Source organism: Homo sapiens, chromosome 17 (genome assembly GCF_000001405.40).
Source record: "Homo sapiens chromosome 17, GRCh38.p14 Primary Assembly".
In the NCBI taxonomy this organism is placed as follows: domain Eukaryota; kingdom Metazoa; phylum Chordata; class Mammalia; order Primates; family Hominidae; genus Homo; species Homo sapiens.
Genome location: NC_000017.11, coordinates 43003316 through 43014572, shown reverse-complemented (window position 1 = coordinate 43014572; position 11257 = coordinate 43003316). Strand labels below are relative to the sequence as shown.

The 11257-nt window shown below is 50.6% G+C and overlaps 1 protein-coding gene across 3 annotated transcripts, besides 1 other annotated feature; it reads right to left on the bottom strand.

Moving 5' to 3' along the window:
- Positions 1-116: 116 nt before the first annotated feature.
- Positions 117-7789, bottom strand: IFI35 (interferon induced protein 35). 3 transcript variants are annotated; one of them, NM_005533.5, is made up of 7 exons: positions 7605-7789; positions 2296-2394; positions 1379-1526; positions 1194-1306; positions 911-1097; positions 691-797; positions 117-465 (listed from the first exon to the last, which is right to left on the bottom strand). In NM_005533.5, the coding sequence occupies exons 1-7, from the start codon at positions 7623-7625 to the stop codon at positions 274-276; spliced, it is 867 nt and encodes a 288-aa protein (NP_005524.2). In that variant the 5' UTR covers positions 7626-7789; the 3' UTR covers positions 117-273. The 3 variants fall into 3 exon arrangements, with proteins under 3 accessions (NP_005524.2, NP_001317159.1, XP_016880073.1); NM_001330230.2 differs by having other exon boundaries at positions 1200-1306; XM_017024584.2 differs by lacking the exon at positions 7605-7789 and adding an exon at positions 3636-3814.
- Positions 7620-7929: an enhancer, noted in NCBI's record as "active region_12233". NCBI's record gives its function as "activates an Ori minimal core promoter by ATAC-STARR-seq in GM12878 lymphoblastoid cells {active_cell/tissue: GM12878}" and the evidence as "EXISTENCE:reporter gene assay evidence [ECO:0000049][PMID:35858748]".

Below are 11257 nucleotides of genomic sequence, written 5' to 3'. Positions count from 1 at the left end.
GTGAGCTCCTGGAAGGCTAGTGCTGCCAGCAGAAGATCTGGGCTGCTTCCTGCCCCCTGCCTCTTTCCATGCCCAAATCACGTTTCCTTTCATGAGTGAAATGAGGAAGAACATCATGGCATGCAGGCTCTTTTTACTGTTCTGGGCAGTGTTTTGCAATGTGTGACCCCTCCGCACTGTTGGTGAACATACAGACCTCCTATATGGGCACCCAAGCCCAGGCCAGTGTGAGAACCTTGGCGGGGGGGTGGGGAGGATGAGAAGGGGAGGCCCCTAGCCTGACTCAGAGGTGAAGACTGCTAGGCCCTGCTGTCCTTGGGGTACGACTGTCAGGGCCTCTACCTCCCCGCCCCCGCGGGTGGGCTTCTGGAAGTGGATCTCCAGGACGTCATGCAGCTCCGGGCCATCCAAGATATCAGGAATGTTGAGCACCAGTACCGAGCGGGGAACTGGCTGCGACCTGATCTGGAAAAGGAGCCAGGAGATGGCAAAGGCTCATGGGAGAAGGGCTGGGGGCTGGGGGTAGGGCAGGCAGTGCCCCATGGGGGTATGAGGTCGGGAGGCCTGGAGAGGCTGATGGTGGGTAGGTAGGTCAGTGGGGTTTGGGGCCTCTGATCCTTCATTGGGCAAGTTCCTGGCAGGCAGACAGGTTACCCAGCCCAGCCCCTGTTCTTCACCCCTCCTGCTTACCTCAGCCTTCTGGATCTCCCCGTTCACATACGGAGAGACTCTCAGAGGGACTTGCTGCCCACCCAGTGGCACTGTGAACTGGCCGATTTGGCACAGACGCTGAGCCACTGTGGGGAGCAAGGAGGGGTGGGCCTTTAGCATCAAGCCCTCTCCTCTCCCTGCACCGTAATCTTGCACACCCTATACCCTCTCCCCTGCAGGAGGCCTGCATAGCCCTCACCTCCATCCCTAGCAAACCCCAGCATGACACTCCCTGGCAGTAGCTCCCGAACGTCCACATCGCCACCTCCGTTCCTAGTCTTGCCAAAGAAGATCTCTAGCTTGTCCAGCAGCTCCTCCTCACTCAGCCTGAGGCTGGCAGGAAATCCAGTGACCAACACCCTCCGGCCACTCAACTGGCTGGACATCTAGGGGGAGACAGCAAGGGGTGGTCCCAGACACAGCTCCACTTCCCCATGCCCAGGTGCATGGCATGCTTTGCATGCCCCAGGATTCTGTCATACCATCACCTGGATGGTGGTGACCATGGGCAGCTCCAAGGGCTGGACCTGCACCCGCAGCCGGCACTCCTCCATGTTGATCGTGTGCTCCTTTTGTTGCAGCACCTGCTCAGCCACTGGGTGGTGGGAAACAGGGTCAGTACTGGGAACCCTCCCCACCTCCCTCCTGAGGCTCCCCATGAGCTTACCTTTGGGGTCATCAAAGGTGATCAGAGCAGAGCCCGCAAGCAGAGGGCAGTGGATCCGCAAATTGGAAACTAAAGACTTAGGCACTTCCGGGTCCTGCTGGGTGTGTCCTCGGAATACCAGGGGGATCTTGGGCACTGAAAATGGGACCTGGAAGTAGGGGAGGGGAGTAGGAGTGTTCCTCACTCCCACCTAGGAGGAAGGCATCTCCGATTCCATTCCATTGATGCTGAGTGCCGGAGATAAATACATTTACTGAAAGAAAAGCTGGATAAATGAGTGGATGAATGCAGGTCTGGTCCATACAGGGCAATTTACATACAACATCTTAATTTGTCCTGGGAGGTGGGTAGCTCTACTTTACAGATGTTCAAGTAACATAATGGAGGTCACACAGCAAGGAAGTAGCAGAGCCAGGAATAAAACCGAGAACTCCCCAGCTCTTTTTTGTGTTTCTTTGTTTTAAAGGGAGTCTTGCTCTGTCACCCAGCTGGAGTGTAGTGGCATGATCTTGGCTCACTGCAACCTCCACTTCCCAGGTTCAAGCAATTCGGACTCAGCCTCCCAAGTAGCTGGGATTACAGGCATGTGCCACCAAACCCAGCTAATTTTTGTATTTTTAGTAGAGACGGGGTTTCACCCTGTTGGCCAGGCTGGTCTCAAACTGACCTCAGGTGATCCACCAGCCTCGGCCTCCCAAAGTGCTGGGATTACAGGCGTGAGCCACTGCGCCCGGCCTAATTTTTGTATTTTTAGTAGAGATGGGATTTCACTGTGTTGGCCAGGCTGGTCTCAAACTCCTGACCTGAGGTGATCAGGCCCCCTTGGCCTACCAAAGTGCTGGGTTTACAGGTGTGAGCCACCGCACCCGGCCTCGCCAGCTCGTTTTTACCAAACAACACCAGATCTCCCACCTTACCTTGTCTTTGGGGGAGTCCCCGAGCTCCTTTCTCAGCTGCTGCAGGTCCCACAGCCTCATCTTGAGTCTGGCCTGCTCCTCCTGAAGGGCGTGGAGGGCCTGTTGGGGCAGAAGGAAACAACAAGACTTCTACCCGCCCTTCCAGAGAATCAACAAGCCCAGGGGAAGTGGGGCCTATTCTGGACGCTCCAAAAGCAGAGTTGATGCTAAGCTCAAGAACAACCCAACCCCTTTGTGCTGCCCTGGGCTGGTCTTGGCCCCCTCCACCCAGGGCTTGGCTGGCCTCATCTCAGCTGCTCTTGAAAGGGCAGGAGCCTTTGCAGCGTCCATGACTTGTTCGTGACCACAGATCTAGAGTTCAACAAACACTGATTAAGCTCCTGCTAGAAAGTGCTCGGCACTGACACAGGCAGTGGAAGATAAGGGTACGACCCTCAGGCCTGCCAAACAGTGCTCAAGAGTACATGATCACATGACTGACTGTGAAGGGCAGCCGGAATTTGGAAGAGGGACAATCCCAAAGGGGTTAACCCAATTAGGGACACCTCCAAGAGGAGGGGAGACTAGTTGCAAAATGTCATACAGTCATATTCTTAACTAACGTTTACTAAGTACTTACTATATGCCAGGCACTGTGCTAAGCCCGTCTGATGAATTATTTCATTCAATTCTTAGAACAACAGGGTATCTAAGATAGATATCCTGTGATCCTTATTTTATTGATTTATTTTTTTAATTTTTATTTATTTATTTATTTTTGAGACAGAGTCTTGCTCTGTCTCCCAGGCTGGGGTGCAGTGGCGCGATCTTGGCTCACTGCAGCCTCCACCTCCCAGGATCAAGTAATTCTCCTGCCTCAGCCTCCCAAGTAGCTGGGATTACAGGCACCCACCACCACACCTGGCTCATTTTTGTATTTTTAGTAGAAACAGGTTTTCACCATGTTGGCCAGGTTGGTCTCAAACTCCTGACCTCAGATGATCTGCCCGCCTCGGCCTCCTAAAGTGCTAGGATTACAGGTGTAAGCCACAATGCCTGGCCAATCCTTATTTTATAGATGAGGAAATTAAAGCTCAGAGAGGTTAAATGACTTGCCCAAAGTCATTTGGCCCTAGGCTGTCTGACTCCAGAGCCCACCCACTAACCTGTGCTTTACAGTGAAGAAATGAAGCCCAGAGTGGGGAGGTAGTTTACCCATCAATTCTAGCTTGTCCCTGGACTGTCACACTTTCCACTGTACACCAAGTAACCTTTTAGGCTGGGTGTGATCTGGAATGGGTCCAGAGAGAGAACTGACATCACAGGCAGGGAAGTGACACCAGGGATACCAATAAATGCACCTTTGTTTGTGGAATAGAGCAGAGTTCACCCTGTGGTTAGGAATCCTGATAAAGAAGTTCAGCTCAGAGAAGCATGAGATCTCTTGGAAAGATAGGACTCTGTTCTGACCATCTCTGTATTCCTTGTGTCCAGCAAGATCTCCGGCACAAAATATGTGTCCGGTAAAACTGTGTTGAATGAAGAAATGAAGTGAATGAATGACGGTAAAGGAGCACATTACAGAGGACACCAAAGAAATTCAGTGTGAGTTTGTTCTATTTTTAGCAGAAGAATACTAGAGCTTGACCAAATTATGCTGGTTTATGAATAGTGAAAAAGATCATTAGTTATTCATATTTCTGTAACTCAGAGAGTGCTAACACAGTGCCTTTAAGGGCCAGTTGGATGACATTAATGAGTTAATAGAGCCATGTAGGATAACAGAGAGTGGTGGGGACTCTGACGCACTGGGAAGAGCATGTCCTTTCTAAAGTAAACTGCTTCTAGCCATAACAAAGTTTCCCCCCACAGCAAATCTACCCATGTTTTTGTTTTGTTTTGTTTTTTGAGACAAAGTCTCAATGCCACCCAGGCTGGAGTGCAATTGCTCCATTATGGCTCACTGCAGCCTCGACCTCCTGGAATCAATCAATCCTCTCATCTCAGCCTCCTGAGTACAGGCGTGTGCCATCATGCCAGCTATTTTTTTTTTTTCTTCTTTTTGGGACGGAGTCTCACCCTGTCGCCCAGGCTGGAGTGCAGTGGCGCGATCTCTGCTCACTGCAAGCTTCGCCTCCCAGTTCACTTCATTCTCCTGCCTCAGCCTCCCGATTAGCTGGGACTACAGGTGCCCGCCACCACGCCTGGCTAATTTTTTTGTATTTTTAGTAGAGACGGGGTTTCACCGTGTTAGCCAGGATGGTCTCGATCTCCTGACTTCATGATCTGCCCGTCTTAGCCTCCCAAAGTGCTGGGATTACAGGTGTGAGACACCGCGCCCAGCCCTCTATTTTTTTTTCTTTTCTGAGACGGAGTCTCCCTCTGTTGCCTAGGCTGGAGTGCAGTGGCGCAATATCGGCTCGCTGCAAACTCCACCTCCCGGATTCAACAGATTCTCCTGCCTCAGCCTCCCAAGTAGCTGGGATTACAGGCACCTGCCACCACTCCTGGCTAATTTTTTTTATTTTTTATTTATTTATTTATTTTGAGACAGAGTCTCGCTCTGTCGCCAGGCTGGAATGCAGTGGCAGGATCTCGGCTCACTGCGACCTCTGACTCCCGGGTTCAAGCGATTCTCCTGCCTCAGCCTCCCGAGTAGCTGGGACTACAGGCACGCACCACCATGCCCAGCTAATTTTTGTATTTTTAGTAGAGATGGGGTTTCACCATGTTGGCCAGGATGGTCTCAATCTCTTGACCTCGTGATCCACCCACCTCGGCCTCCCAAAGTGCTGGGATTACAGGAGTGAGCCACCGTGCCCGGCTCTAATTTTTTATTTTTAGTAGAGATGGGGTTTCACCATGTTGGCCAGGCTGGTCTCAAACTTCCCACCTGAAGTGATCTGCCCAACTCAGCCTCACAAAGTGCTGGGATTACAGGCAGGAGCCACGGACCCAGGCCCCCTAATCTTCCCATTTTTAATAGAAATAAAAAATCTGGGCAGGTTGTTGTGGCACATGCCTGTAATCCCAGCACTTTGGGAGGCCAAGGGAGGCAGATCGCTTGAGCCCAGGAGTCTGAGACCAGCCTGGGCAACAGGACAAAACTCTACCTCTACAAAATATTTAAAAATTAGCCAGGCATGGTGGCACATGCCTGTAGTCCCAGCTACTCGGGAGGCTGAGATGGAAGGATCTATTGATCCCTAGAGGTGGAGGTGGCTGCAGTGAGCCATGATCCAGCCACTGCACTGCAGCCTGGAAAAAACAGTGAGATCTTGTCTCCAAAAAACAAAAAATCTGGATTTTTATTTGAAAAAGATGGCCCAATTTAACGTATATAAAGCCGGGTGCTGTGGCTCAAGCCTGTAATCTCAGCATTTTGGGAGGCTAAGGGAGGCAGATCATGTGAGGTCAGGAGTTCGAGACCAGCCTGGCCAACATGCTGAAACCCTGTCTCTACAAAAAATTAGCCATGCTGGGCACGGTGGCTCACGCCTGTAATCCCAGCACTTTGGGAGGCTGAGGCAGGCGGATCACGAGGTCAGGAGTTCGAGACCATCCTGCCTAACACAGTGCAACCCCATCTCTACCAAAAATACAAAAAACTAGCTGGGCGTGGTGGCGGGTGCCTGTAGTCCCAGCTACTTGGGAGGCTGAAGCAAGAGAATGGCATGAACCCATGGGGCGGAGCTTGCTGTGAGCCGAGATCCTGCCACTGCACTCCAGCCTGGGTGACAGAGCGAGACTCCATCTCAAAAAAAAAAAAAAAAAAAAAAAATGAGCCAGGCGTGGTGGCATGTGTGCCTATAATCCCAGCTACTTGGGATGCTGAGGCAAGAGAATCACTTGAATCTGGAAGGCAGAGGTTGCAGTGAGCCAAGATCATGCTATTGCACTTCAGCCTGGGCAACAAGAGTGAAACTCCATCTCAAAAAAAAAAAAAAAAAAAAAAGGAAAGAAAAGTCCGGGCATGGTGGCTTACACCTGTAATCCCAGCACTTTGGGAGCTTGAGGGGGGCAGATCACGAGGTCAGAAGATCAAGACCATCCCGGCTAACACGGTGAAACTCCATTTCTACTAAAAATACAAAAAATTAGCCAGGCATGGTGGAACGTGCCTGTACTCCCAGTTACTTGGGAGGCTGAGGCAGGAGAATCGCTTGAACCCGGGAGGCAGAGGTTGCAGTGAGCCGAGATCATGCCACTGTACTCCAGCCTAGGAGACAGAGTGAGACTCCGTCTCAAAAAAAAAAAAAAAAAAGGGATTGTCCTTGGGGAACTGGGGTTCTGAAAAGGTTGGCAATAATAATATTAAGAAGAAACACATATTGAATGCTCTGTAGGTGCTAAGCAGTGGGATAAGTTTTTACCGTGTTAATCTATGGATTACCTAGTGTGATTCTTAAAGTATAATTCTTATAGTATATATATATATATATATATATATAAATTTTGTGTGTGTGTGTGTGTGAGAGACAGTCTCCCTCTGTTGCCCAGAGTGGAGCATAGTGGTACAATCTCGGCTCACTGCAACCTCTGCCTCCCAGGTTCAAGCAATTCTCCCGCCTCAGTCTCCCTAGTAGCTGGGATTACAGGTGTGTGCCACCATGCCTGGCTAATTTTTGTGTTTTTAGTAGAGATGGGGTTTTGCTATGTTGGCCAGGCTGGTCTCGAACTCCTAACCTCAAGTGATCCACACGCCTCAGCCTCCCAAAGTGCTGGCTGGGATTACAGGTGTGAGCCAACACACCCAGCCTAATTCCTTTAGTTTAATTTTTTTTTTTTTTTTTTTAGACAGAGTCTCGCTGTGTCACCCAGGCTGGAGTGCAGTGATGCAATCTCGGCTCACTGCAACCTCCGCCTCCCAGGTTCAAGTGATTCTCCTGTCTCAGCCTCCCAAGTAGCTGGGATTACAGGCGCACACCACCACACACAGCTAATTTTTTGTATTTTAGTAGAGACGGATTTTCACTGTATTGCCAAGGCCTCCCAAAGTGCTAGGATGACAGGCGTGAGACACCACGCCCGGCCTAGAACAATTGTTATTTGGGTCACAGAACCCGCTGAGTATCTGATGGAAACTACAGATTCTCTCTCCAGAGAAGTGTACACACACAGGATTTAATGAGCTCCTCCTGTCTGAGGCAATAGGTTAGGGAACCAACTCTTGCAGAGGCAACCCCAGCCCTGTGTTTCTCCCCAGCCCTTCAGCAGGTCTGAGATGGGCAGGGTGAGGCTTGGCTGCCAGGCCCTGAGATATCTGCAGGTTCCTAGCCAAGAGGATTACTCCTGTTTCCCCACTTCCCAACTCCCTCCTCCTCACTTACGGCATCCAGTGGGGCTGACATGGGTCTCGGGTCTGTTTGGCAAGAGCTGAGGCTTCAGAGCTGGGCACAGTGGCAGAATTCACAGCAACTGAACTCTTGTTTGTACCCCCCAAAGGGCTGTGGTCTCTCTCAGCCCCAGCAAGACCCGAAATACACCTCAGGAGGCTCTGCTCGCAGGCTGTTTGCTTCCACTTTCATTTCCGTGAAATCCCTGCCTTCTGGCGCTCACATGCCGCCCCCTGCCGAGGCTTCCCCACCCCTGGGAGGAGCCTTCTTGGTCAGCAAAGTCGACTTCACTCAGCCAGGCTGCCTCAAGGAAAGCCACCTCACCCCAACTGCAAACTGGCCCCCATCAACCATTCCCAGCAATCTCCGACAAGCCCATTGGTAGACCCTGCTTTGTCAATGGATTATTTCCCTAGAGCCTAGAATAATGCTGGGCACATTGAACATTGATAAAATAATTGCTGAATGAGCTGGGTGCGGCGGCTCACACCTGTAATCCCAGCATTCTGGGAGGCCCAGGCGGGCAGATCACCTGAGGTCAGGAGTTAGAGACCAGCCTGGCCAACATGGTGAAACCCCACCTTTACTAAAAAAATACAAAAATTAGCCGGGCGTGGAGGTGCATTCCTGTAATCCCAGCTACTTGGGAGGCCGAGGCAGGAGAATAGCTGGAACCCGGAGGCAGAGGTTGCATTGAGCTGAGATGGTGCCATTGCACTCCAGCCTGGGTGACAAGAGTGAAACTCCATCTCAAAAAATAAATAAAACAATAATTGCTGAATGAATGAGAAACACAGTCAGGACAGATAACGCCCATAGTTCAAGTTCACAAAACTGCCGGGTGCGGTGGCTCACACCTGTAATCCCAGCACTTTGGGAGGCCCAGGTGGGCAGATCACCTGAGATCCCAAGTTAGACACCAGCCTGGCCAACGTGGTGAAACCCCGTCTTTACTAAAAAAATACAAAAATTATCCGGGTGTGGTGGTGTATTCCTGTAATCCCAGCTACTTGGGAGGCCGAGGCAGGAGAATAGCTGGAACCTGGGAGGCAGAGGTTGCATTGAGCCAAGATCGCGCTGTTGCACTCCAGCCTGAGTGACAAGAGCGAAACTCCATCTCAAAAAATAATAATTGCTGAATGAATGAGAAACACAATCAGGACAGATAAAGTCCACAGTTCAAGTTCACAAAACTGCCAGGCGCAGTGGCTCATGCCTTGTAATCCCAGCACTTTGGGAGGTCCAGGCGGGTGGATCACGAGACCATCCTGGCCACCATGGTGAAACCCTGTCCCTACTAAAATACAAAAAATTAGCCGGGCCGGATCACACCACTGCACTCCAGCCTGGGCAACAGAGTGAGATTCTGACTAAAAAAAAAAAAAAAGTGCCAATCCCAGCAGCTGGGCCCACTGGTAACATGTGCCTATAGTTCCAGCAGGTTGAGGCAGGAGGACTGCTTGAGCCCAGGAGTTCGAGGCCAGCCTGGGCAACACAGTGAATCTTGTCTCTTAAAAAAAAAAAAAAAAAAAAAAAAAAGGCTGGGTGCAGTGGCTCACGCCTGTAATCCCAGCACTTTGGGAGGCTGAGGCGGTGAATCACTTGAGGTCAGGAGTTTGAGACCAGCCTGACCAACATGGGGAAACCCTGTCTCTACTAAAAATACAAAAATTAGCCGGGCGTGGTGGCATGCGCCTGTAGTCCCAGCTACTCGGGAGGCTGAGACGGGGGAATCGCTTGAACCCGGGAGGCGGAGCTTGCAGTGAGCCGAGATCGTGCCACTGCACTCCAGCTGGGTGACAGAGCGAGACTCTGGCTCAAAAAAAAAAAAAAGAAAAAAGTTCACAAAACTGTTAACAGTGGCCAGCAAGGAGAGCTATCGTCTGCCCAACACGCTTGTGCCTTACATGAATTAACTCTTCAAAACAATGCCATGAAGTTGGTTCTATTTTCTTCACTTTACAGATGAGAAAATTGAGGCACAGAGCATTAGAAACTTGCCCAAGGTCACAGGGCTAGGAATCAAAGCATGGATCCAAACCTGGTAGGAACAGTATTTACACTTGGGCCTTGAGGTAGAGTGGAAAAAAATTTGCTGTATTTTTCCTCAAAAGTTTTAAATTCAGCCCCATTTCTGTGACCCTGAGTAGGCAAGCTACTTAATAGAAGTCTGTCTCAATAGAGATGCCTTAATACTTAAGTGTGTGAAGATTCAATTAAAAAGTTTCCTGGCTGGGTGCAGTGGCTCACACCTGTAATCCCAGCACTTTGGGACGCCAAGGTGGGTGGATCATGAGATCAGAAGTTCAAGACCATCCTGGCCAACATAGTGAAACCCCATCTCTTCTAAAAATACAAAAATTAGCTGGGTGTGGTAGCACACTCCTGTAGTCCTAGCTACTTGGGAGGCTGAGGCAGGAGAATCGCTTGAACCCCGGGGCGGGGCAGAAGTTGCAGTGAGCCGATAGTGCCACCTCGCTCCGGACTGGGTGGGTGAAAGAGCAAAACTCCATCTTAAAAAAAAGTGGCTGGGCGCGGTGGCTCACGCCTGTATTCCAGCACTTTGGGAGGCTGAGGTAGAACGATCACAAGGTCAGGAGATCCAGACCATCCTGGCTAACACGGTGAAACCCCGTCTCTACTAGAAATACAAAAATATTAGCCGGGCATGGTGGCAGGCGCCTGTAGTCCCAGCTACTCGGGAGGCTGAGGCAGGAGAATGGCGTGAACCCGGGAGGCGGAGCTTGCAGTGAGCCGAGATCGTGCCACTGCACTCCAGCCTGGGCAACAGAGCAAGCCTCTGTCTCAAAAAAAAAAAAAAAAAGTTTCCTAGTAACCTAGCCCAAAGTTTTTTCCAGTTACTCACCAATCCTACTTTTGGCCCCTTCCCGCCACCCCGCCCCCTCTGGTTCCCAAGTGCAAGTGTGGTACCTAGCAGACTTGGCAAACTGGCCTGTTTGAATCTTAGTTCCCTCTAGCGACAGAACCATTCAGATGGAGCACCTATTTCATTCATGAAACATGACTAGTTACAGTCCATTGAGAGATAAAATGCCAGATCCTAAGAACCAAATGTCTCTCCTGCACTACACAGTAGTGGCACAACCCAATGCCCCAAAGCTCCTTTGATCACTTTCTTTCAAGTCTCTGCCAGCCAGGCCATTTGAGGAGCACTCCCTTGTCCTATTAAACAGCTGCTCTAGGCTCAGGGATTCACCAAAGGCATCTGTCGTTACCACCAGGAGCAGGTCTCCAGGGTGGTCCCCATCTCACCTACACCAGTACCAGTGTCACCTGAAAACCTGCTAGAAACTCAGACCTACTGGATCAGTCTGAGGGCAGGATTTCAGCAATCCGTGGTTTAACAAACCATCCAGGTGACCTCTATCTGTGCTAAGGTTTGAGAATTTCAGGTTAGTGGTTCTCAATCAAAAATACCTGATCCCCACCACTCAGGGGCCTTTGGTTGTCACAAGGAGGGGCAGAGTGTGTGTGGCAGAGGTTCTCCTGGCATGTAATGGGTAGAAGCCAGGGAGGCTACACAATTCTTCACAGGGATTATCAGGCTAAGGACAGAGGCAGCATAAATCTCATTAAGGCAGATTTAACATTTTCCCAGCCCCTCATCCATCACCCAGCGTCTTTTT